The sequence below is a fragment of the Homo sapiens genome, chromosome 19 (assembly GCF_000001405.40).
Source record: "Homo sapiens chromosome 19, GRCh38.p14 Primary Assembly".
Taxonomy (NCBI): Eukaryota; Metazoa; Chordata; class Mammalia; order Primates; family Hominidae; genus Homo; species Homo sapiens.
In genome coordinates this window covers 23,759,250-23,786,449 of record NC_000019.10, presented here as the reverse complement: position 1 = coordinate 23,786,449, position 27,200 = coordinate 23,759,250, and the positions used below count along the sequence as shown (strand labels likewise).

The 27,200-nt window shown below is 45.5% G+C and overlaps 1 protein-coding gene across 14 annotated transcripts in view, besides 5 other annotated features; it reads right to left on the bottom strand.

The window, feature by feature from the left end:
- Nucleotides 1-27,200, bottom strand: part of RPSA2 (ribosomal protein SA 2) — a 112,693-nt gene that overhangs the window by 84,739 nt on the left and 754 nt on the right. For 12 of the 14 annotated variants that reach the window (NR_170711.1, NR_170712.1, NR_170713.1 and 9 more), the window contains exon 1: nucleotides 23,316-23,446. The exons of 1 other annotated variant lie outside the window; for it this stretch is intronic. The gene's annotated coding sequence lies outside the window, so the exon portion shown is untranslated. Of the gene's footprint in view, nucleotides 1-3,950; nucleotides 4,079-23,315; nucleotides 23,447-27,200 lie in introns of those variants that run through there. One more of the 14 variants, NR_149351.3, reaches the window with a different exon arrangement.
- Nucleotides 16,894-17,395: an enhancer, noted in NCBI's record as "H3K4me1 hESC enhancer chr19:23951857-23952358 (GRCh37/hg19 assembly coordinates)". NCBI's record gives its function as "activates a minimal SCP1, AML or CMV promoter by ChIP-STARR-seq in primed H9 embryonic stem cells {active_cell/tissue: H9 hESC(primed)}" and the evidence as "EXISTENCE:reporter gene assay evidence [ECO:0000049][PMID:30033119]".
- Nucleotides 22,736-23,185: an enhancer, noted in NCBI's record as "active region_14395". NCBI's record gives its function as "activates an Ori minimal core promoter by ATAC-STARR-seq in GM12878 lymphoblastoid cells {active_cell/tissue: GM12878}" and the evidence as "EXISTENCE:reporter gene assay evidence [ECO:0000049][PMID:35858748]".
- Nucleotides 22,736-23,725: a biological region, named in NCBI's record as "NANOG-H3K27ac-H3K4me1 hESC enhancer GRCh37_chr19:23945527-23946168".
- Nucleotides 23,084-23,725: an enhancer, noted in NCBI's record as "NANOG-H3K27ac-H3K4me1 hESC enhancer chr19:23945527-23946168 (GRCh37/hg19 assembly coordinates)". NCBI's record gives its function as "activates a minimal SCP1, AML or CMV promoter by ChIP-STARR-seq in primed H9 embryonic stem cells {active_cell/tissue: H9 hESC(primed)}" and the evidence as "EXISTENCE:reporter gene assay evidence [ECO:0000049][PMID:30033119]".
- Nucleotides 23,726-24,366: an enhancer, noted in NCBI's record as "H3K4me1 hESC enhancer chr19:23944886-23945526 (GRCh37/hg19 assembly coordinates)". NCBI's record gives its function as "activates a minimal SCP1, AML or CMV promoter by ChIP-STARR-seq in naive H9 embryonic stem cells {active_cell/tissue: H9 hESC(naive)}" and the evidence as "EXISTENCE:reporter gene assay evidence [ECO:0000049][PMID:30033119]".

Below are 27,200 nucleotides of genomic sequence, written 5' to 3'. Positions count from 1 at the left end.
AAAAAAAGAAGAGTCAAATCACCGAGGTGCTGGATCCAGTGATAAATCACAATCTTATCTTCAGACTGGGACCAGGCAGCAAAATCATATCACTCAGGTGCTGAACATAGGCATATGTGATAATCACTCCCGCAGGAAGGTCCAGTAATAAATTAACAATCCCGCACAGGTCCCAGTTCTAGGTAAGAGAATCACCACATTTTCTATGTTGGGTCTAAGTACAGTACTGACAATTTCACCAATGAACTGGATTGGCACATGAGAGCCTTCATTCCTCCTGTAAACTGTGTTTACTCTGGCCCTAAGCCCAGGTAAATTTTTCATGGGTCCAGATAGAATTTTCACCCGCTAAAGTACTGGATTTAGAAATAAATCATCATTCCAACTCTGGCTGGATGTTCACATATGACAGTCACAATTTTAACTGTGGATTGTATTATGGTGACAATTCTAACAATTGGTGGGGTGTGCACATGAGAACCACAATCTCACCTGTGTGCTGAACCCTGGAATGACACTCACTGTACCACAAGAGATGTGTATAGTATACAAGAAAGTGGTAATTTCCTATGACTTTGTACAAAAAAGGAGACCGAGGATCTTAATCATTACCCTAGGCCTAGCTATAAAAGACAGCACCTCTCCTATTAGATGGTTTGAGGTATGAGAGTCACCATTGCACCTGTGAGCTAGACCAAAATATATTTTACAATCCTACCTGTGAACAGGCAGAAAGGAGGAGAGTAACATCACCTGGGTTTTTGGCCAAGAATACATCACAATCTTTCCTGAGGGCAGGGACCAGACAGGAGTGTCACATCACTTTAATACTCAGCCAGGAATATGTTACAACCTTCTCCTGAAAGCAAGACAGGCAGCAATGACATCACCTAGGTGCTGAGCCCAGCAATAGGTAACAATGCTTTCTATGGTAAAAGGCCATGCAAGAAAGACACATTGTCTGGTACCTGGGCCTAGTGATAATTTTTCTGTGGGCAGAGTGTAGGCAAAAATGGAGAGTCACATCTCCTAGGTGACTGATGCAGAGATATGTCACAAGGCCCTGTAGAAAGGGCCCAAGCAGAAGCCTCCCTTTTTATAGGTGTTGGGGCTAGTAATATGTCCTAACTTGCAAAATATTCAGGGCTTAGGGAAAAAAAGCAAATTCACATAACCTGAGTGCAGATCTTAGCAATATGTCACAATGCAACTTGTGCACAGCACCAAGGCAAGAAAAAAAGATTCCCATCACCTAAGTGGAAAGCCCAGCCATATGTCACAATGCCACCTGAGGGCAACACCAAGGCTGGAAAAAGAGTCACTTCTTTTGAGGTGCAGAGTCAAGAGATATGTCACAATCTCATCTGTGGGCTGGGCTAAGGCAGAAAAGTCAAATCACTAAAACGCTTAGCAGACACATTCAATCACATCTGAAAGAAAGTCCAGGAATGAGATTAGAAATTCCATACGTGTCCACGTTCTAGATATGGGAGTCAATACCTCCTGTATATTGGGTCTAAGTACATGAGTAACAATCTCAATAGCTGACAGAATTTTTGCAAGAGAGCCAAAATTTCTTCTGCAGACCGTCAGTGCAGTCACAGCCTCATATGTGTGCTGAAATTTGGTCTCAGAGTCACCAGTCCACCTGTTGACCAGGCCCATATATGAGACTCAATTCTGCAACTATCAACAGACTCCATATTTGAGATTCAGAACCTCAACAGTGGGATATGTTTGTGTGGGAGAATGACAGTCTTTACTGTTGTCTGAGTGTGCATGCAAGAGACAGTATCCACCTGTGTGCTGTGTACTCCTACGACATTATCTGTGTCACCTGAGGGCTTCATACAATAGGCAACAGTGGTGATCCTCTGTGACCTTCATACAAGAAGGAAATCCAGAACCTTTTCTGTGGTTCTAAGCCCAGAGTCAACATCTCTCTAATTGGCTGAGTCCAGATAATAGAGTCCTCACCTTCCTATGAGCTAGGTTTAGAAATGAGTCACCATCTCAACTGCGGCCAGATGTTCACATATGACAGTCAAAGTTCCAACTGTGGAGTGCATTCATGTGAGATTCAGGACCTCACCCAGTGGGCTCTGCCCATGTGTGAGGGTGACAATTCTAAAGGTTGGTGGGCTGTGCATAGGACAAATGCAATCTCATCTGCATGGTGGACCCTGTTATGACATTCTCTATAACACACTAGGGCTTTACAGATGTGAGAGAGTGGTAATTCTCTATGACATTTGTACAGAAAGAAGAGCCAGGATATTCTTTGTTTTCCTAAGCGTAGCTGTGAGCAACATTATCTCTCCTACTGGCTTCTTTGAGGTATGAGAGTCATCATTACATCTGTGTGCTTTGTCAAGTTATATGTCACAATTCCACCTGTGGGTAGAGAACAAACACAAGAGTCACATCAACTGTGTGCTGGGCCAGGGTTATGTCACAATCTTCCCCGAGAGCATGCACCAGGCAGAAGAGTCACATCACAGGGTTCTCAACCAGAGATGTTACAATCCTCTCCTGAAAGCAGGACACAGGAAAAAGAGTAAGATCACCTGCATGCTGGGCTCAGATATATGTCACAAGACTCACTGTGGGCAAAGTCCAGAAGGACAGACAGAACAGCTGGTTGCTTGACCCAGCAATATGTCACAATCTTCTCTATGGGCAGAATGCAGGCAGAAGTATAGGGTTTCATCTCCCAGGTGATGGATTAAAAAAATACATCCCAAGGCTCTCTGTGGGAAGGGCTCAGGCAGAAACTTTCCAACCCCTAGGTGTTTGCTTCAGTGATATGTCACAATAACCAAAATATGCAGGTTTCAGGCAAGTGAGTAAAGTCATATCACCTAGGTGCTTGGTCCAGAAATCTGTCACAATCTTTTTTTTTTTTTTTTTGGCAGTGCTCAAGCAGAATAGAAAAGTCACATCACCAAGATAATGAATGAAAAGATGTATTAGAGTATTTCTGTGGGAGGGCCCATGCAGGAAAGTTGCATCACCATGTTGTTGGACCCAGAGATATGTTGAAATAAATGATTCCAGCCAGGTGTGGTGGCACCTGCCTATAAGCTCAGCACTGTGGGAGGCTAAGACAGTCAAATCACCTGAGGTCAGGAGTTTGAGAACAGCCTGACCAACATGGAGAAGCCCCGTCTCTATCAAAAATACAAAATTAGGTGGGAGTGGTGGTGCATGCCTGTAATTCCAGCTACTCAGAAGGCTGAGCCAAGAGAATTGCTTGAACCTGAGAGGTGGAGGTTGTGGTGAGCTGACATGGTGCCATTGCACTCCAACCTAGGCAACAAGAGCAAAACTCCATCTCAAAACAATTAATTAATTAATTAAAAGAAATACATGATGCATGCAGATCTCAGGCAGGAGAGGAGAGTAACACCATGTAGGTGATGGACGCACCTAAATGCACATCACAATTTCCCCTTAAGCACACCCCAAGCAGTAGCAGAGAGTCACATCACCTAGGTTCTTGGTCCAGCAGTATTTCACAATACCCCTGAGGGGATGGCCTAGGCAAACAAGTCACATTACCTAGGTGAGAAGCCTAGAGACATGTCACAATGTCTCTTGTGGGTAGGGCTCATAGACAAGAGGAGAGACATAGCCTAGGTGCTGGGCTCAGCTTTATATTCCAATCAACCCAGTTGGAAGAAGTCAAGAATGAAGAGGAGTCACATCACACAGGAGCTATGTCACGTGGCATATCACAATTCCCACTGTGGACAAACCCCAGAAGAAAAGAGTCACATTATCTAGGTGGGAGGCCCAAACATATATCACAGTGACTCCTGTGTGCAGGGACCAGGCAAAATAATTACATCACTGTTTTGCTTGCCCCAGCAATAAGTCACTCTCTATTCTGTGGGCATGGCCCCGGCAGAAGAGGAATGTCACATCACGTAGGTATAAAGGGCATTTACCTGAGCTTGGTCTATAGGAGAGATTGTAATGGGTGAAGAAATATGTCACAATGCTCCCTGTAGTCAGGATTCAGGCAGAGGACTCACATCATCTTAGTGCTAGGCCCAGCAGTATGTCTCAATGCCTTCTAAGGGCAGAGCCAAAACAAAAGAAGTTACATCACCTTAGTGTTAGGGACAGTCATATGTCATAATCTCTTTTCTAAGCAGAACCTTAAAAAAACAAAAATGTCACATCAGCTAGGTGCTGGACCCAATAGTATGTCCCAATACCCCCTGTGATTAGGGAACAGGCAGGAAAAGTAAATCACATTTCCAGGGTGATTGGTGAAGACATACAGTACAATCCCCTCTGTAGACAGGTCCAGGATGAAGCGTTACATCACCTGGGTGTTGGACTCAGCAATGTTACAATGGCCTATATGTTTAGGGCAAAAGCAAAAGATTCTCATAACACAGACCCAGCAATATGTCACAATACACCTGTGGGTAGCACCAAGGCAGAAGAGGAGACTCAAACCACCTGGGTGCAACACCCTGTGATATGTCACAATGACCCTTGTGGGCTGTATCAAGGCAGAATAGAATCACATTACCAAGGGTCTGGGTCCAGTGATACAGCACTGTGAACTGGGCCCAGGAAAAAGAGACAAATAACTCAGATGCTGGGCCAAGGTGTATGTCACAAGACATTTGTAGAAAGGTCTTGTGATGACATTAACAATTACACACATGTCCTGAGTCAAGGGATGAGAATCAACACCTCCTGTATGTTGGGTCTAAGTACAGGGGTTACAGTCTCAATGGTGGACTGGATTTGTGCATGAGAGCCTCAATTTCCTTTGCAAATTATGTGCCTTAGGCTGGGCATGGTGGCTTACACCTGTAATCCCACCACCTTGGGAGGCCGAGGTGGGCAGATCACTTGAGGTCAGGAGTTCGAGACCAGCCTGACCAACATGGTGAAACCCCATCTCTACTAAAAATACAAAAAATTAGCCTGTGTGGTGGTGGGCATCTGTAATCCCAGCTACTCGGAAGGCTGAGGCAGGAGAATCACTTGAACCCAGGAGGCAGAAGTTGCAGTGAGCCAAGATCACACCACTGCACTCTAGTCTGGGTAAGAAGAGCGAAACTCCATCTCAAAATAAATAAATAAATTATTCTCCTTAGTGAGGTTACAGTCACAAAGGTGTGTTGAATTTTGGTTACAGAGTCACTAACCCGAGGCCACGCATGGCGGTCACACCTGTAATCCCAACACTTTGGGAGGCCGAGGTGGGCAGATCATGAGGTCAGGAGTTCGAGACCAGTCTGGCCAACATGGTGAAACCCTGTCTCTAGTAAAAATGCAAAAATTAGCCAGGCATTGTGGCATGCACCGGTAGTCCCAGCTACTCTGAAGGCTGAGGTGAAAGAATCGCTTGAACCTGGTAGGTGGAGGTTGCAGTGAGCCGAGATCATGCCACTGCACTCCAGCCTGGGTGACAGAGCGAGACTGTCTCAAAGAAAAAAGTCACTAACCCAACTGTGGACAAAATCCACAAATGAGAGTCAATTTTCCAATTCAACTATCTCCAAAAGTGAGGTTCAGAACCTCAAAAGTAGGCTGTATTTAAGTGGATGACAATCTTTGCTATTGACTGGGTGTGAATATAAGTTTCACAATCTCACCTGTGTGCTTGGCCCTGTAAGGGCACTCTCTTGAGGACTGTATATGGTGTGCATGAGAGTTGCAACCTGCTCTGAGAACGTTGTGCTGCTCTGGACCCATGATCTTATAGAGTTACCATCTCAAATGTGGCCACATGTTCACAAATGATAGTCAGTTTTGTTTTTTGTTTTGTTTTGTTTTGTTTGAGACGGAGTCTCACTGTTGCCCAGGCTGGAGTGCAGTGGCACGATCTCAGCTCACTGCAGACTCCATCCCCCAGGTTCATGCCATTCTCCTGCCTCAGCCTCCCAAGTGGCTGGGACTACAGGCGCCCACCACCTCGCCTGGCTAATTTTTTGTATTTTTAGTACAGATGGGGTTTCACCACGTTAGCCAGGATGGTCTCGATCTCCTGACCTTGTGATCCGCCCACCTCAGCCTCCCAAAGTGCTGGGATTACAGGTGTGAGCCACCGCGCCCGGCCGATAGTCACAGTTTTAACTGTGGCCTGCATCTGTGCATGAGAATTATGGCCTCATCGGTGGGCTTTTCCATGTGTGAGGATGACAATTCTAAAAATTGGCAGGGTGTGTTTACATGAAACATGATCTGTCTGCTGGGTCCTATGATGACATGCTCTGTACCATCCGAGTGCTTTATACAATATACGAGAGAGTGGTAATTCTCTATAACCTTCATACAGAGAGGAGACCTGGGATTTTACTCCTTTTTGTAAGCCTAGCTGTGAGAGACAGTATCTCTTCTATTGACCGGTAAGAGGTATTAGTTATCATCAGACCTGTGAGCTGGGCTGAGATGTAGGTTACCAACGAACTTCTTGGCAGAAATCACGCAGGAGAGCGACGTCACCTGGATGCTGGGCCACTGATATGTAATTTCTTTTCCCTGAGGACTGTGACAAGGCAGGAGAGTCACATCATCTGGGTTCTCAACCAGTGACGTGTTACAATTTTCTCCTGAAAGTTATGCACATTCAGAAGAGACACATCACTTGGTGGCTGGGGCCTGAAGTATGTCACAATCTTTCCTGTGGGCAGGGTGCAGATAGAAAAGGCATCACATCTTTTATGTAATGGATACAGATATGTGTCACAAGAAACCCTGTGGACAGGACGAGGCCAAAGTCTCCCATTCTTCTAGGTGTTTGGACATGTGAAATGTCCCAATACCCAAAATACGTGGTTGCTAGACAGAAGAGTCGCATCACCTAAGTTCTGGTTTCAGTAATAAGTCACAATCTTTCCTTCTGACAGGGTTCAGGGAGGAGTCATATCACTTAGGTGATTAGCAAAAATAAATGTCCTAATAACCCCATGCTTATGATCCATGTGAGAGAGCTGAATCACCCATGTGTTAACCCCAGCAACATATCAAAATATACAATTTATGGAGTGTCCAGGCAGGAGAAGACAGTATCTTCACCTAGGTGTTAGGCCCAGTGATACATCACAATACCTTCTCTGACAGAGTCCAAGCAATGGAGAAGAGTCTTATTACCTAGGAGCTCAGTCAAAAAATGTGTCATGGCCGGGCGCAGTGGCTCACGCCTGTAATCCCAGCACTTTGGGAGGCTGAGGCGGGTGGATCATGAGGTCAGGAGATCGAGACCATCCTGGCTAACACAGTGAAACCCCGCCTCTACTAAAAATACAAAAAATTAGCCGGGTGTGGTGGCGGGCGCCTGTAGTCCCAGCTACTTGGGAGGCTGAGGCAGGAGAATGGCATGAGCCCAGGAGGCGGAGCTTGCAGTGAGCAGAGATTGCGCCACTGCACTCCAGCCTGGGCGACAGAGCGAGACTCCGTCTCAAAAAAAAAAAAAAAAAAAAAAAGTGTCACAAAAATCACTGAGCAGAAGGCCCAGGCAGGAGAGTCAGTCAAATTACCTAAATGAGGGGCTCAGAAATATGTTGCAATGACCTCTGTGGGTAGGACTCAGGAAAAACAGGAGAGTAACCTAGGGGCTGAGTAAAGCTATATGACACAGTCGCCCAAATTGATCGGCCCAGGCAAATGAAGAGTCTTATCACATAAGTGCTAGGCCAAGTGATGTGTCACAATCCTCATTATGGACAGTTCCCAAGAAGAAGAGTCACATCATCCAGGTGATGGGTCTAGAGATGTCACAGTAAGCGGTGTGGGCTGGGATCATGCAGAAGAATCGCATCACTTGTGTGTTGAGCCTAGCGGTAAGTCACTCTCTTTTCTGTGGGCATGGACCAGGCAGGAGAGGAAAGTCATAACATCTAGGTGTTAGGCCCAGAGATAGGTCACGATCTCTACTATTGGCAAAGCCCTGGTTAAAAAACAGAGTCACCAGGCACAGTGGCTCACACCTGTAATCCCAGTACTCTGGGGGGCCGAAGTGGGCAGATAACCTGAGGTCAGGAATTCGAGACCAGTCTGACCAACATGAAGAAACCCTGTCTCTACTAAAAATACAAAAAATTAGCTGGGCGTGGTGGTGCAGGCCTGTAATCCCAGCTACTTGGGAGGCTGAGGCAGTAGAATCGCTTGAACCTGGGAGGCAGAGGTTGCGGTTAGCCGAGATTGCGCCATTGCATTCCAGCCTGGGAAACAAGAGTGAAACTCCATCAAAAACAAAACAAAAAACCCACAAAGGAAAGTCACATCAAACAGTTGATTGGCCAAGAGATCTATCACAATTCCCCCAGTAGGCAGGGTTTAGGCAAGAGACAAATTACATTGGTTCTGGTCACTGCAATATGTCACAATGTCTTTTAAGGGCAGGACCAGGCAAAATAACTTTGCTGATGGGCCTAGTGATATGTCAGTTTTTTGGGGGATAGAATCTACGAAGAAGAGACAAGTCACATCAGCTTGGTGCTGAAACCAGCAATATGTATTATTATCCCCTAGTGAACAAGGACCAGGCAGGTGAAAAGATTCACATCACCTGGGTGATTGGCACAAAGACATGTCACAATATCACTGGAAGGCAGTGGCCTGGCAGGAGAGTTACATCACCTGGGTATTGAAACCAGCTATACTTCACAATAGCCTAAGTAGACAGGGCACAGGTGGTAGAGTTCCATCACCTGGGTGCTGAGCCCAAGGATATGTCACAATGTTCTTGTGGGCAAGGCTCAGGCAGGAGAGAAACATTTTCTAATTGCTGGGTCCAGTGATGTCACAATCTTCTCTGTGGGAAGAATGCAGGCAGAAGAGGAAAGTCACATCTACATCTTTCTAGGTAATAAAACCAGAAGACAGGCCACAAAGCATCCTGTGGGCAGGGCCCAGGCAGGAGTCTCTCATCCCCTAGGTGTCAGGCCAAGAGATTTGTCACAATACTCATAATATTCCATGCCCTGGCAATAAAGGTGAGTTACATCACCTAAGTGCCAAGTCCAGGGATATGTCGCAATTTCTGTTTCATCAAGGCCCAGGCATAAGTGGAGAGTCATACCACCTGGGTGATGAATGAAAAGATACATCATCATACCCCTGTAGGCAAAGCCCATGCAGGAGAGTTACATCACCTAGGTGTTGGCCTCAACGATGTGTCAAAATACATAATGTATGCAGGGTTTAGGCAGGAGAAAAGAATAACGTCACCTAGGATCCTGGCCAAGCAATATATCAAACTTTCTTTTTGGTTGTATTTCAGGCAGTAGAGGAGAGTCACATCACCTGGGTTCCCAGTCCAGCAATATGTCACAATGCCCCTTGTGAAAATAACTGAAGGATAAGAGGAGAGTAACATAACCTAGGGGCTAGGCCAAGCTATGTGTCACAATCACACCTGTAAGCAGGGCCCAGGCATGAGAGGAGAGTCACATCAAGTAAGTACTGGGCCATGCGATATATCACAATCCCCATATGGCAGGTCCCAGGAAGATATCACCTAGGTGCTGGGCCCAGAAACTTGTGACAATGTCTCTTATAGGCAAACACAGGGTAGGAGAGGGGAGGGGATAACATCAAACATCTGATGAGCCAAGTGATATGTTACAATGCCCCCTGTGGGCAGGGTCCAGGCTGAAGACACACATCACCTCGGCATTGGGCCCATGAATGTTACAGTGCTTTCTGAGGGCAGGCCCAAGGCAAAAGAGTAATATCATTATGCTGCTGGGCCCAGCAGTTTGTTACAATCTCTGCAGCAGGTGGAGCCTAAAAGAGTCATACCAGCTAGGTATGGGGCCTAGCAATATGTCACAAGATGTTTTGTGAGAAGAAACCAGGCAGTAAAAGGGAGTCACATCACCTGGGTGATGAGCACAGAGATATGTCACAATGGCTCCTGCAGGCAGAACCCAAACAAGAGAGTTACACTACCTGAGTTTTAGACCCAGCAGTATGTCACACTGTCACAATGACCCATGTGAGCAAAGCAGAGGCAGGAGAGTAACATAAACTAGGGGGGAGGGCAGCAATATTTCACAATGTTCACTGTGGATGGCACCAAAGCAGGAGAGAAAACTCCCATCCCCTGGGTGCAAGGCACAGTGATATGTCCAAATGCCCCATGTGGAAAGCACAGAGGCAAGACAATGGGGTCACATCACCTAGTTTCTGGTCCAGCGATATGTCACGATTCATCTGTGGGTTAAATCCAGACAGGAGAGTAAAATCACTCAGGTTCTACACAGAAGCATCTGTCACAGTCACACGTGCAGGAAGGTCCAAGATGAGATTAACAATCCTGTGCATATCCTGCTTCTGTGTGCAGCAGCAAGGCATGAGAGGAGACTCACATTACCTGGGTGTAAGGCTCTGAGATATACTACAATGTCTTTTTCAAGTAGCACCAAGGCAGAACAGAGTTACATCACTTAGGCGCTGGGTCCAGCAGTGTGGCACAATCCTATTTGTAGGCTGGGCCAATTCTGAAGAATTACATTACTAAGGTGCTGGGCAGAAGTGTGTGCCAAAATCACACCTGCAGGAAAGACCAGGGATGACATTAACAATCCTGTATATACCCCAGTTCTTGGTATGAAAGTCAACACCTCCTGTATGTTGGATCTAAGCACACAAGTCACAATTTTTAGAATGAATTGAATCACTGAATGACAGACTCAATCCCTCTTACTGGCTGTGTCACCTTAGTGGAATCACAGACTAATAGGTGTGTTCAATCTTGGTCTGAAAGTCACCAACTTACCTTTGGACTGAATTCACTTATGAGAGTAAATTTTCCAACTTGTGACTGTCTCTGCATATGAGATTCAGAACCTCCAGTGGACTGTGTTCATGTGAAAAGATGAAAATCTTTACTGTTGGCTGGGTGTGCATGAGTGTGAAAACCTAAACTCTACACTGAGCCTAGTTAGAACACTCTCTGTACCACCTGAGGAATTTATAAGGTACACGTGAGAGTCGCAATCTTTTGTGGCTGGGAGACTTTTCTGCTGCTATGGACCCGTGATCGTACCTGTGGCTCTATGCCCAGATATGAGAGTTAACACCTCTGTAATGGCTGGGTCCAGATATGAGAGTTGCCATCTACCTATAAGCTAGGCTTATTAATAAGTCACCACCTCAGCTGTTGCCTGATGTTCACTTACAACAGTCACAATTTCAACTCTGCACTGCATCCACCTGTAAGATTTAAGACCACACCAGTAGGCTCTGTCCATGGATGAAGGTGATAATCTTAACAACTGGCAAAGTGTGCATACACAAAAACAATCTCATGTTTTCTGCAACCTGTTAGGACACTCTCTGTACCACCCGGGGCTTCATACAATATGTGAGAGTGTAATTCTCTCTGACCTTCCTACAAAGGGGAGAGCCAGAATCTTACTCATTTTCCCAAGCCCACATATGAAAGATAGTTTGTCTCTTATTGGCTGATTTTTGATATGAGAGTAAACATCACACCTATGATCTGAACAAAGGTATATGTCACAATCTCCCCTGTGGATAGGGAGTGAGCAGGAGAGTTACATCATCTGGGTAACAGGCCAGGGATATGTCACAATCTTCTCTGAGAGCAGACACCAGGCAGAAGAGTTAAAACCTGGGTGCTCAGTCAGGGATAAGTTCAATTTCCTCCTGAAATCAGGGCACAGACAGTAGAGTCATATCACATGGGTGCTGAGACCAGTGATATGTCACAATGCTCCCTGTAAGCAAAGCTCAGGCAGAAGAAACATGTCATCTGATTTCTGGGCCAGAAGGTATGTCACAATCTCTCATATGAGGGAAGCCTTGTGTAAAAGGAGAGTCACATCAAATAGTTGATGCTCTTAAAGATGTCACAATGCTCTGTTGTCAGGGTCCATACAGGAGACTCATGTTACCTTGTTGAGCCCAGTAATATGTCACAATGGCTTCTGAGGTCCAGGCCCAGGCAAAACAGTAATGTCACATTGGTGTAGAGCTCCATAATATGTCTCAATCTCCCTTGCCAGCAGAACTCATGATGGAAGAAGAATCACATTTGTTTGGTACGGAGCCAAGTGATATGTCACAACTCCCACTGTGAGCAGGGAACAGGCAGGAGAAGAGAGTCACATCACTTTGATGATGAGTGGAAATATATGTCACAATGCTCCTTGTTGGCAGTAGAGTTATACCAGAGAGTCGGACCCAGCAATATGTCATAATTGCTTATGTGGTCAGGGGACAGTCAGGAGAGTCACATAACCTGGGTGTGGGGCCCAGAGATACGTGACAATGCATTCTGTGGGCAGTGCCAAGGCAAAGGAGGAGACTCACATCACCTAAGTGCAAGGCCCAGCGATATGTCACAATGTCCCCTGTGAGCAGCACCAACACAGAAAAATAGAGTCACATCCTTTCAGTTCAGGGTTCAGCAATATGTCACTATTCCATCTGTGGGCTGGTCTTAGGCAAGAGTCAGATCACTCAGGTGCTGAAAATGTTACAATTAAACCTGCAGGAAGGTGCAGGGATGAAATTAACAATCCCACACATGTTCTGGTTTTAGGAATAGGAAGTTAACCCTTCCTATATATTGTGTCTAAGAACAGGAGTTACAATTTCAACGATGAACTAAATTTGTACCTGACAGCCTATACTCCTCCTGTGGACTTTGTCTAATTAGTGAAGTCACAGACTCACAGGTGTGCTGAATCTTGCTCTAAGTGTCATCAACTCACCTGCAAACTGAATCCACATATGAGAGTCAATTTTTCCACCTCTGACTACCTCTATGTGTGAGAGTCAGAACTTCAAGAGTAGGCTATGTTTATGTGAGAAAATGATGATGTATGCTATTTGATGTGTGTTCATACAACAGTAAAAATCTCCAGGCCGGCTGTGGTGGCTCACGCCTGTAATCTCAGCACTTTGGGAGACTGAGGCGGGCAGATCATGAGGTCAGGAGATCGAGACCATCCTGGTGAACATGGTGAAACTCCATCTCTACTAAAAATACAAAAGTTATCTGGGCATGGTGGTGCGTGCCTGTAATCCCAGCTACTCAGGACGCTGAGGCAGGAGAATCACTTGAACCCAGGAGGTGGAGGTTGCAGTGAGCTGAGATCACGCCACTGCACTCCAGCCTGGGTGACAGTGAGACTCTGTCTTAAAAAAAAAAAATTTGATATATATATATATATATATCAAATTAGCCAGGCGTGGTGGCAGGCACCTGTAGTACCAGCTACTGGAGTGGCTGAGGCAGAACAATGGCGTGCACCTGGGAGGTGGAGCTTGCAGTGAGCTGAGATCGTGCCACTGCACTCCAGCCTGGGCAACAGAGAGATACTCCATCCAAAATAAAAATATATATATATATATACACACACATACACACAGGAGGAGACGGAGTCTCAGACTGCCACCTGGGCTGGGGTGCAGTGGCACGATCTCAACTCAATGCAACCCGGCTAGTACACTCTCTGTACTACTCAATGGCTTTATCCAGTATAAATGAGAGTCACAATTTACTCTAAAATCATGTTTGTAAGCACCCATGACCATACTTCTGGCCCTAAGCCCAGGTATTGGGGTAAACATCTCTCCAGTTGGTTGGGTTTGGATAGTAGTCCTCATCTGCTATGTTCTGAGTTTAGAAATGTGTCACCATCTCAACTGTGGCTGGAGGCTCATATATGACAGTCACAATTCCAACTGTGGACAGTGTTTGCATTTGAGATTCAAGACCTCAGCAATGGGCTCTTTCCATGTGTGAAGGTGATAATCCTAATGGTTGGCGAGGTGTGCATATTAGAAACAAGCTCACTTTTGTGCTGTGCCCTGGGATAACACTCTTTGTAACACTCAAGGGCATTATATGATATGTGGGAGGGTGGCAATTCTTTATGACCTTCATAAAAAGAGAGACCAAGGATGTGACTCATCTAAGGCAAGCTATGAGAGACACTATTTCTTCTAATAGCTGACTTGAGTTATGAGAGTAATCATCGCACTTATAAGCTGACTATAGTATATGTCACCATTTAACCTGTAGGTAGGGAGTTAGGAGGAGAGTCACATCACCTGGGATTTCAGCCAAGGATATCTTCCCTGAGGGAAGGAACCAAGCAGCAGTGTCACATCACCTAGGTGCTCAGCCAGGGATATGTTACAATTCTCTCCTGAAAGCACAGCACAGGCAACAGAGTCACAGCACTGTCACAATGCTCCCTGGGGGCAAGACAGAGGCAGAAGAGCCAAATCACCTTGTGTCTGGTTCCAGGGATATGTCACAATCTTTCCTGTGCAGGGCAGGGTGCAGGCAAGAAATGTCACATCTTTTACTTCATGGATGCAGATATATGTCACAATGTCCCTGTGGGCAGAGCCCAGGCAGGAGCACGCAATCCCATAGGTGGTAGGTCTAGTAATATTTTACAGTACTCAAAATATGTGAGGCACAGGAAAAACAGGTGAATCATATCACCTAGGTGCTGGGCCTAGTGATATGCCACAATCCTCCCTTCCGGCAGGGCCCAGGCAGAAAAACAGAATTACATCACCTAGGTGATGAATGAAAAGATATAACACCTCTGTGGGCAGGGCCCATACAGGAGATTTACATCACCAAGGTATTAGAACCAGCCACATGTCAATAACACAATGTACAACAGAAACCAGGCAGGAGAGGAGAGTCACATCACCTAGGTTCTGGACCCAGAAATATATTACAGTCCCTTCTTGGGAAAAGCCCAGGAAGTAGAGAAAAGTCACATCACCTGGACATTACTCACAGTGATATGTCCAATGCCCTCTGTGAAAAGCACTAGGACAAAAGAATAGATTCACATCACCTAAATGCTGGGTTGAGCAATATGGCACAACCCCGTCTGTACACTGGGCCCAGGCAGGAGAGTCAAATCACTCAGTTGCTGGGCAGAATTGTATGTCACAATCACATCTGGATGAAGGTGGAGGTATGAGATTAACAATTTCACACATTTTTTTAGTTCTAGGTATGAGACATAATACCCTCTGTATGTTGGGTATAAGTACATGAATGAGTCTCAATGACGGTCTGGATTTGTGTATGAAAACCTCAATCCCTCCTGCAAATTGTGTCATTTATTGAAGTCAACAACTCACACATGTGCTGAATCTTGGTCTCAGAGACACTGACCTCTCTATGGACTGAATTAACATGACATTCAATTTTCCAACTTTTGACTGCAGCTGGGTATGAGATTCAGAACCTCAACATTGAGCTGTGTTTATGTGGAAGGATGACAGTCTTTACTGTTGGCAGGCTATGCATATGAGTGTCACAACCTCCCCTGTGTGCTGAGTTCTGTTAGGACATTCTCTGTACCTCTTGACAACTTTACACAGTATGTGAGAGAGTGTTAATTCTTTATGACCTTCATACAAAGAGGAGGCCCAGGATATTACTCATTTTCCTGACCCTGGCTATGAGAGAAACTACATCTGCTACTGGTTGTTTAGAGGTATGAGAGTCATTATTGCACCTGTAAGTTTGGATAAGATATGCATCACAATCCCACCAGTGAATAGGTATTGACCAGTAGACTCACATCACCGCATTTTGGGGCAGTGATATGTCACAATCTTCTCTGAGGGCAGGGATAAGGCAGAAGTGCCACACCCACACATGGGTGCTTGATTAGGGTTATGTTAAAATCTCCCCCTGAAAGCAGAATACAGTCAGCAGAGTCACATCACCTAGATGCTAGGCCCAGTGATATGTTACAATGATCTGTGGGCAAGGACCAGGCAGGAAAAACAGATCACCTGATTGCTGAGACCGGTGATTCGTCACAATCTTCCCAGTGGTCAGGGTGCAGGCAGAAAAGGGGGGTTAAATCTCCTAGATAATGAATGCAAAGATATTTCACAAGGCCACTTATGTGCTGGGCTCAGGCAGAAGCCTCCATTTCATGGGTGTTGAACTCAATGATACGTCACTATACCCAAAATATGCCAGAAACAAGAAAAATAAAAGGGTCACATCACCTAGGTGATGGAAAGGAGACATGTCATAATACTTCCATGGGCAGTTCCCATGTCATAAAGTTATATCACCTAAGTGCTGAATCCAGGCATATGTCACAACACACAATGCATGCAGGGCTTAGGCAGAAGAGGAGAGTCATAACACGTAGGTGGTGAGTCCAGCAACACATCACAATCCCTGCTTGGGCAAAGCCCAATCCATAGAGAACTATGAGTCACATCACCTATGTACTGGGCTCAACAATATGTCACACTACCTTTATGGGGAGGGCCCATGCAAGAGAGTCACATCATCTAAATTATGGGCCCAAAAATATGTCAAAATGCTATGAGTATGGCTCAGGAAAATGAAAGAATCACATGACCTAGGGTTTAGGCCCAACTATATGTAACAAACACCCCAGTTCGCAGAGCACATGCATGAGCAAAGAGTCACATCACCTAGGTGCTGGGCCCAGTGATATGTAATAATACTTTTTTTGCAGTTCCCAGGCAGAAGAGGAGTGTCACATCACCTAGGTGATTAATATAAAGATATTTCATAATACTTCTGTGGGCGGGGCCCTTGCAGGAGAGTTGCATTACCTAGGTGTTAGACCCAGTGATATGTCTCAACACACAATGTGTGCAGGTCCCAGACTGGAGAGGAGAGTCACCTCATCTAGGTTCTTGACCCAGTGATATGCCACAATCCCTTTTTGGGCAGAGACCAAAGAGTAGAGTCACATCACCTAGATTTTGGGCCCAGCAATATGTCACAATATCCCAAGAAGAGGGTCCAAACAAAAGAGACACATCGGCCGGGCATCGTGGCTCACGCCTGTAATCCCAGCACTTTGGGAGGTCAAGGCAGGTGGATCACTTGAGGTCAGGAATTTGAGACCAGCCTGGCCAACATGGTGAAACCTCATCTCTACTAAAAATACAAAAAGTAGCTGACTGTGGCGGTGCATGCCTATAATCCCAGCTACTCATGAGGCTGAGGCAGTTGAATCACTTGAACCCAGGAGGTGGAGGTTGCAGTGAGCCAAGATTTTGCCACTGCACTCCAGCCTGGGTGACAGAGCCAGACTCCATCTCGAAAAAAGAGAGTCACATCACCTAATTAAGTGTCTCAGAGTTAAGACACAGTGCCCCTCATGGGTAGGGCCCAGGAAGAAGTGTGAAGTCACATATAACCTTTGAGCTAGGCCCAGCAATGTGTCAAAATCACTCCAGTGGGTAGGGCCCAGGCCTAAGAAAAGAGTCATATCACGTAGGTGCTTGGCCAAGCAATACGTCACAATCCCCACTGTGGACAGGTCCCAGGGAGAAGAGAGTCACACAGTCTCAGCGATGGACCCAGATATATGTTACAGTGACTTCTGGGAGTCAGCAGAAGAATCAAATCACCTGTATGCTAAACTCAGGAATAAGTCATTCTCTCTTCTGTGGGCAAGGCCCGGCTGAAGAGGAGAGTTACATCACCTTGGTGCTGGGCCCAAATATATGTCACAATCTCTTTTTGGGCAACGTTCAGGTAAGAGAGAAGAGTCACATAAAATAGTTAAAGGGGGCCAAGCACAATGGCTCACACCTGTAATCCCATCACTTTAAGAGGTTGAGGCGGGCGGATTGGCTGAGGTCAGGAGTTTGAGAACAGCCTGGCCAACATGGTGAAACCCTGTCTCTACTAAATATAGAAAAATTAGATGGGCCTGGTGGTGTGTACCTGTAATCCCAGCTACTAGGGAGGCTGAGGCAGGAGAATCGCTTGAACCTGCGAGGTGAAGGTTGTAGTGAGCCAAGATTGTACCACTGCACTCCAGCCTGGGCAAAAGAACGAGACTCTTTCTCAAAAAAAAAGAAAAAAAAAAAAAAAAAGCTTAAATATCTGTCCTTTTCAGACAATAAACATGTCATTTAAATATTTCCATGAGAGATAATTTAATAAACAACCATATGTGAACATTTCTAGAAAGTGTCAAGTTCCATGTCATAAAATTTTGCATTAAACTTGGATATCTAGACAACAGAATACAGAACAGAGATATCCACCATTACAAATTCTAGACTTTGAAAAAAAGAGGAGCTGATGGTTTGAGAAATATATACAATGCACCAATTAATCTATCATATTTGCTTGTGGAAATGTATTCACTTTGTATAGCCATAATGGAAAAAAGATTTTTCCTATTTCTCTTCTCTGGTAGCATTCTCAAAGCAAACCCCTGGGGTTCTATTTAAAATTACACAACCAGAAAAAAACATAAATTTAACAAATAAAACATATCACTAGATTTTTCTGAAATATACCTTTCATAGTCGTTGACTTTTTAAACATCTTTTAAGCTCTTCTGATGAAATGTAATTTACAGTTATTAAAAAACTGAAATTGGGCCGGGCGTGGTGGCTCACGCTTGTAATCCCAGCACTTTGGGAAGCTGAGGTGGGCAGATCATAAGGTCAGGAGTTCCAGACCAGCCTGGCCAACACAGTGAAACCCCGTCTCTACTAAAAATAGAAAAATTAGCTGGGCATGCTGGTGGGCGCCTGTAATCCCAGCTACTCAGGAGGCTGAGGCAGGAGAACAGCTTGAACCCGGGAGGCGGAGGTTGTGGTGAGCCAAGATTGTACCACTGCACTCCAGCCTGGGCGACAGAGCTAGACTCTGTCTCAAAAAAAAAAAAAAAAAAAAAAACTGAAATTGAAATAAGTGAAAAAATCTTTCCAAGGTGACAAACTCAGGAAGTGGCAGTGCTGATTGGGACACAAACATGTCTGACTCCACTGTCAAGTCAGACCATAATATCACTCAAAATATTCTGTCATCCCCATCCTGCCTATTAAATTACTCAGTGACCACCTTCCCAGGAGACACTTTGTACCCCACTGTGAGTCTCAGGTACATTTTGCTTGCAGGTTCTTGCATTGCCTTACTGGGATGGGATCTTCTTGTCCTTTGGAAAAAATTTTATTTCAAGAATCCAGAGAACAAAAATCATTTCTGCCTTTTCTCATCAATGCGAACATTTGATTGTCTCATCACCAATGTGTCTACTAAAAATAAAAATCAGGTTGAGAGGCCAGGCGTGGTGGCTCACACCTGTAATCCCTGCACTTTGAGAGCCCCAGGCAGATGGACCACCTGAGGTCATGAGTTAGAGACCAGCCTGGCAAACATAATGAAACCCCGTATGTACTAAAAATACAAAAAATTAGGCCGGGCACCGTGGTTCACGCCTGTAACCCCAAATCTTTGGGAGGGCGAGGCAGGTGGATAATCTGAGGTCAGGAGTTCGAGAACAGCCTGGGCAACATGGCGAAACCCCGTCTCTACTAAAAATACAATTAGCTGGGCGTGGTGGCACGCACCTGTCTACTCAGGAGGCTGAGGCAGGAGAATGGTTTGAAACCGGGAGGCAGAGGTTTCAGTGAGCCGAGATCATGCCACCGCACTCCAGCCTGGATGACAGAGCAAGACTCTGTCTCCCAAAAACACAAAACAAACAAGCAAACAAACAAAAATTCAAAAAATTAGCCGGCCTTGATAGCAGGCGCTTGTAATCCCAGCTACTCAGGACGCTGAGGTAGGAGAATTGGTTGAACCCAGGAGGTGAAGATTGTAGTGAGCCAAGATAACGACACTGCACTCCAGCCTGGGTAACAAGAGCGAAACTCCGTCTCAAAAAAAAAAAAAAAAACATTTGGCCCGGCACGGTGGCTCAGGCCTGTAATCCCAGCACTTTGGGAGGCCGAGGCGGGCGGATCACGAGGTCAGGAGATCAAGACCATCCTGGCTAACACGGTGAAACCCTGTCTCTACTAAATATACAAAAAATTAGCCGGGCAAGGTGGTGGGCGCCTGTAGTCCCAGCTACTCGGAAGGCTGAGGCAGGAGAATGGCGTGAACCCGGGAGGCGGAGCTTGCAGTGAGCCGGGGAGATCGCGCCACTGCCCTCCAGCCTGGGTGACAGAGCAAGACTCTGTCTCAAAAAAAAAAAAAAAAAATTAGCTTGAGAAAAAACTTCTTAACTGTTTACACACTTGTTCATTTTTATCTCATTGGGGGAAGACCTCTCAATATATTTCAGAGTCAAGAGGTAAAATTTTTTTAAAATAATTTTTTAAAGGGTACACTCTGAGGCTGGGCACAGTGGCTCATGCCTATAATCCCAGCTACTCGGGAGGCTGCGGTGGGAGAATCACTCGAACCTGGGAAGTGGAGGTTGTAGTGAGCCGAGACTGCACCACTGCACTCTAGCCTGGGAAAGAGAGTGAGACTCCATCTCAAAAAAAAAAAAAAAAAAAAAAAAAAAGGAAATGAAATATCCGCACCAGCAACATTAATACAAAAAGTTCTATTAAACAATGACACCCACTCAAATGTCACCTCTTCTATAAAGCCCTCCTTGATATTCCCACTGCTATGTTAGTGGCAGAATTGATCACTATTACCTTACAGCTCAATACCTTATGTCTTTTTATGTACAAGTATTATTCTCCAGAATAAATTAATTTTTTACACACCTATCCATGCTAATGAACTATAAACTCCTACACGGCAGGTATGTTGAACCCTGTTCATCTGTGTAATCCAAATTTCTGATACATAATAGGTGTCATACACACATAAAATCAAAACGCTATCAGGGAATTATTGGAAAAGCTAACAAATTATTTTTTTAACTTTTAAGTTCAAGGGTACATTGCAAATTTTTTACATAGGTAAATTTGTGTCATGGGGGTTTGTTGTGCAGATTACTTCATCGCCCAGGTATTAAGCCTACTACCCATAAGTTATTTTTCCTGATCCTCTCCCTCCTCCAATAGGCTCTAGTATGTGTTGTTCCCCTCTACGGGTCTATGTGTTCCCATTATTTAACTCCCACTTATAATGAGAACATGTGGTATTTAGTTTTCTATTCCTGTGTTAGTTTGCTAAGAATAATGGCTTACAGTTCCATCCACATTCCTGCAATGGACATAATCTCATTTTTTTTTTATAGATGCACAGTACTCCATGTTTTATATGTACATTTTCTTTATCCAGTCTATCACTGATAGGCATTTAGGTTGATTCCATGTCTTTGCTATCGTGAAGTGTGCTGCGGTGCACATACGCATGCATGTGCCTTTATAATAGAATAATTCATATTGCTTTGGGTAAATACCCAATAATGGATTGCTGGGTCAAATGGTATTCCTGTCTTGAGGTCTTCAGGGAGTTCCCACCATGTCTTCCATAATGGTTGAACTAATTTACACTCCCACCAACAGTGTAGAAGCATTCCTTTGTGAAAAAATAATTTTAATTTTCTAAGAGGTTAGCTTTTTAGACAAATAGTATACAAGGAAATTTTCCACAGGCCTAGGCCATCCAGTTGCTCTTCTGAGAGGCTACACTCTTACTCCTCAGACTGTCCTCTAAGAGACGACTCAGGGGATGATACTCATTAGACACTCCAAGATATATGGCCACTGTGGGTATGTTGAGTTACCCCAGACAGTTCTGAAACTCATTACCAAGAATAGACTAAAGGGCTGCTGTAAAGGCCCTGTAATTTCTCCAAAGCAAAACTTCAACCCAAAGACGTACTAGTAGGGTGTGTGTGCCTAGGGAAGATAAAAGAAGGAGAGGCGCAGACTTTTTTTTTTTTTTAAAGTGGAGTTCCAGAGGATTATTTTCTACTTTTTTTCTCACATAAAATGTTTACAGACTTGGGAGGCTGAGGCAGATAAATCATCTGAGGTCAGGAGTTCAAGACCAGCCTGGCCAACAAGACAAAACCCACTCTCTACTCAAAATATAAAAATTAGCAGGGCACAGTGGTGGCAGCCTATAATCCCAGCTACTTGGGAGGCTGAGGCAGGAGAATCACTTGAACCTGGGAGGCAGAGGCTTCAGTGAGCTGAGATCATGCCATTGCACTCCAGCATGGGCAACAAGAATGAAACTCTGTCTCCAATAAAAAAGTGTTTACAAACAGAAAACAAATCTTTAAAAACCTGCCATCCACTGCAGTGTAAAAACATGATTAACAATTAAAACACTGTGTCTGAAATGCACAATAAAGGACAAATAGTTGATAGTGTTGTAAATTGGAGAGAGGAAGTTGTTTGTCCTCATTTCCTACATTTGAGAATGTAGGAAAGAAAGTGGAAATTTATAATTTTACTGCAAGCCTTAGTTAAGCTAGGGGAAGAGGGTAGTGGATTAGAAGAAGTCCTGCTTGCCATACATTAGGAAGTCACAGAGGAAAACCAGTCCTCCTCCTGTGGAGTGTTAAAGTAATTAAAAAGCAGGAAATTAGACTGAAGTGGCCCTAGTGCCCTGTGTTCATAAGTAAAAAATGTAAAACCTAACTCGAGTTTATATCTTATAGATTACTATTTTAGGCGGAAACAAAATTCAATCATAATTGAATTTTATTAACCAATCATAAACCTGCAATTAACCTCTGATTACATAACCAGGAAATTTCCACCTGTATCATACAAATAAGGTGACTACATAACTAACCAATTCTTGCATTTGGTTTGCCTTCTCACACGCCCTTTATAAAACCCTTTGCTTTATGTCTCTCAGGTGGGCCACATACTATGGCTGGGGTGCTTTCCATTTCACCAATCACGGCTCAAATAACCTCTTTAAGGTTTTAACCCTGACTCCCTTTAATTTTTAAGAGAAGAGGCTTGGCGCAGTGCCTCATGCTCCTCCTAATCTTAGCACTTTGGGGGGCCAAGGCTGGCGGATCACTTGAGGCCAGGAGTTCCAGACCACCTTCCGCCATGGCGAAACCACTTCTCTACTAGAAATACAAAAATTAGCCAGGCGGGGTGGCGCAGGTCTGTAATCCCAGCTTCTCGGGAGGCGGAGGCACGAGAATCACCAGAGCCTGAGAGGCGGAGGTTGCCGTGAACACGCACTGCACTTCAGCCTGGGCGACAGAGCAAGACTCCGTCTCAAACAAAATGTTTAACAAAAGACACTGGGAGCCCCATAGGCTGCAGTTCTTCCCACGCAAACACCGGGTCGGGATTCTGCTCTTATGACCCGCCTGGCATCCCTGAACAACCTGGGAAATACTCGAGGCTGCGTGAAGAGCTTGCTCAGGGGGCTCCAGACATGGCCCCGCACGGACGGGGCTGGACGCTGGGGTCCCGGCTGTGGGCCCAGCCGCCATCTTGCGGCCAGAGGGGCCTGGGACGGAGCTGCGCCAGCGGGGACTCAGGTCGGCGACCTGGGAGCGGACTGTGGAGAGGCCGGTTCTGCTGGTTTCACAGCCTGGTCTCCCTTCTCGGGTTGCCCAACCCCGCACACTCACCCTTTCCCAGGTTCCAGGATGTCCTGGCTGTGCGTCTCCCTGCAGATCATAGGTCAACAGAGGCTGTAACAGAGTCACCAGGGGCTACCGAGGTGGAGGACGCGGAACAGAAGAGACCGATCCCAAACTCTGGCGGGAGCAAGAGGTAAAGACCCCGCGGAATGTCGGAAGCCACGCCCTCCTCTCCGGCTGCGCCCCTGATTGGGCGGTTCCCGCGCCAGCGCCACTGATTGGATAAAGCAACAGCATTCTCTCCATACCACCACCCGCCCCGCTCGGCAGTAGGGCATTTTACGGACAGTAAAGGTAAGGTAACATGCACAGGGAATTACAGCTAATTAAGAAGTAAGCTGAGACATGAAATGCACTTGCTCTTTTCCTTACCTGGGTCTTGTATAATGCATCTTATTTGCTACTTAAGGGTAAGAAAGAACATTTGGACTTTTTTTTTTTTTTTTGAGACCGAGTTTCCGCCTCATTGCCCTGGCTCAAGTGCAGTGGTGCGATCTTGGCTCACTGCAACCTCCTCCTCCCAGGTTCAAATGATTTTCTTGCCTCAGCCTCCCGAGTAGCTGGGATTACAGGCGCATGCCACCACGCCCTGGTACTTTTTGTATTTTTAGTAGAGATGAGGTTTCACCATGTTGGCCAGGCTGCTCTCGAACTCCAGATCCCAGGTGTTCCGCCCGCCTCAGCCTCCCAAAGTGCTGGGATTACGGGCATGAGCCACCGCGCCCTGCCCATTTGGACATTTTTTAATCATTTTCATAATGCGGGAAAGACCTTCATCCCATCCCTGAGCGCCTCTCTCACCATGCCGTACCACACTGCTGACCACATCGTGGGATGGCCATTAGAAATAAGGCGGGGGTGGGAGGCAGCCCAGGCTGAGAATGGTTTAGAAAGAATTATGTTACCGGGCCGGGCACGGTGGCTCACGCCTGTAATCCCGGCACTTTGGGAGGCTGAGGTGGGCTGATCACGAGGTCAGGAGTTCGAGACCAGCCTGACCAACATGGTGAAACCCCGTCTCTACTAAAAATACAAAAATTAACCGGGCGTGGTGGCGCACGCCTATAATCCCAGCTACTCAGGAGGCTGAGGCAGGAGAACTGCTTGCACCCGGGAGGCAGAGGTTGCAGTGAGCCCAAATTATGCCACTGCACTCCAGCCTGGGCGATAGAGCAAGACTCCATCTCAAAAAAAAAAAAAAAGAAAGAAAGAAAGAAAGAATTACGTTACCCAAATTTGTTCATCTTAGAAAGGCTCCTCAGTCATTCCATGTGAAGTGGCTATTCCAGGGTAATTGTGCCGTGACTACGCTGCATTTCAGTTTGACTTCTCTTTTTTAAAATCACTGGATTACTCTCACTAACGGGGATATTTAATTTTCTAATTGAACATGGCCAACTGTCCTTTGTGGATGTCCTGATTTGATTTGCTAGTTTAGACCCTGGAGGTAGGGGTGAGGAAATATTGGGTCACATTAGAATACCTTATCTCACTTAGAAGATATATAGGAATTTCTTAATAATATCTAACAGTTTTCTCAATACGCATTATATTTAACAGTGATAGTTTACAGGGCAAGAAGGGGACACAGAGGACACAACCTTAGAATTTTAATTTGGTCATAAGTGTTTCTGTTTTGTTTTGTTTTTGGAGACAAGGTCTCACTCTGGTGCTCTGGCTGGAATGCAGTGGCACAACCATAGCTCATAATTTGGTTGTAACAGTTCTTTAAAAAATATTGTTGGCTGGGTTTGATGGCTAACACCTGTAATCCAAACACTTTGGAAAGCCATGGTGGAATGATTGCTTAAGCCCAGGGGTTCAAGACCAGTCTGGGCAATGTAGTGAGACTCAGTCTCTACAAAAATTTAGAAAATTGGCCTTGTGTGGAGTTGCCTGCCTATAGTCTCACCTACTCAAGAGGCTGAGGTAGAAGGATCACTGGAGGTTGAGGCTGCAGTGACCCATCATTCAGCCACTACACTTCAGCCTGGATGACAGAGTGAGACCTCTATGTGTACACACACACACACATATATATATACACACACACAAACATATATATATATACACATATATACCCTATATATATGTGTATATATATATACACACATATATTTATACACCCTATATATATAATCAAAATAATATGTATGTTTGCCAGGCATGGTAGCTTACACCTGTAATCCCTGCATTTTGGGAGGCCGAGGTGGGCAGATCACCTGAGGTCAGGAGTTCGAGACCAGCCTGCCCAAAATGGTAAAACCCCAACTCTGCTAAACATACAAAAATTAGCCCAGTGTGGTGGCACGCATCTGTAATCCCAATTATTCAGGAGGCTGAGGCAGGAGGATTGCTTGAACCTGGGAGGCAGAGGTTGCAGTGAGCCGAGACTGCACCATTGCACTCCAGCCTGGGCAACACAGCAAGACTCTGTCTTAAAAAAAAAAAAATATATATATATATATATATATGTTGAAAGAAATTTAAGCACAGAAGAAAAGTGAAAGACTATGGTGGGGAATGTGATAAAAGGTGAGTGTGGCTGCTACAGCTCGGTGAGATTTGGTTTCCATCTTAAGGAACTGCCCTCCCACACTGAAACCACAACCCAGCACATGCCAATTCTCACACTATTTATACTTTGCACAAAGACAGCAGAAGGAGGTCAACATCATCGTTCATGACATGGAAGTCTATTCCCCACTGAGACATTTTAAAAATGTTATTGTCTTAAGCCCTCTTCCTTCTAATAAAGCCTATACAAATACACCCATACAAGCCTGAAACTACTCAAAATTAAAAATCAGGCTTTTGAAATCCCATAAATAAGAAAACACAAAAACAGCCACTTTGAGGAGAGAGTGGAATGGAGGGGGTTAGGGGGCTCGCTTCACCTCCTGGCCCCATGTGGAGATAGGGATGGAGTCAAGGGAGACCCTGGGAAGTCATTTGTTCTGACTGGGTTTTCCCCCAGCTCCACACTTTGTTAACCATTTCCTGGGAAGAGCTTAGGAACCTCCTGTGCTCTAGTGAGTTAGGGCCTCCCCTCACAGGGTATTGGCAAGGAGAAATTCTGAGACTCTGTGACTGAGAAGCTAGCACAGTGCTTGACAAGTACCTATGGGAACTGTCGTCCTCTGTAACTATCATGTAGCCTTGGAGTGTTGAGATGGCCTGGCCTGGCCTGAGGCTTGGCAAAGCTGTTTGAGGGTCAGCTGCTTTAGGCTCCCACTTTCTCCTCAATCAAAGTGGCTGCTTTTGTGTCTGTTTATTTATGGTTTTAAAAACCTGATATATAGGCCGGGCGCGGTGGCTCACACCTGTAACCCCAGCACTTTGGGAGGCTGAGGCGGGCCAATCACGAGGTCAGGAGTTCAAGACCAGCCTGGCCAACATAGTGAAACCCCGTCTCTACTAAAAATGCAAAAATTAGCCGGGCATGGTGGCACGCACCTGTAGTCCCAGCTCCTCGGGAGGCTGAGGCAAGAGAATCACTTGAACCCAGGAGGCAGAGGTTGTTGTGATCTGAGATTGTGCCACTGCACTCCATCCTGGGCAACAGAGCGAGACTCCGTCTCAAAAAAAAAAAAAAAAAAACCTGATATATAAATAGAAAGTGCAGCTGGAGGTGCCGAGGCTCAGTGTCTAGGGCTGTGCTTCATGGGCTTCCTTGCTGGCATGTGGCCAGGTGAACTCTGGGTGTAAGGTGGCTCCTACCCTGGATCTACAATCCCCACCACCTCTCCCAGGCCTGAGTAACCAACACAACGCAGTGCTAAAGAGCGCGTGAGTGACGGGCATCAAGCCCATCCAGGAAGATTTGAATGCCATCTGGGCTGGGGGCTGTCGGGGTAGGGACTATGGCTGCCA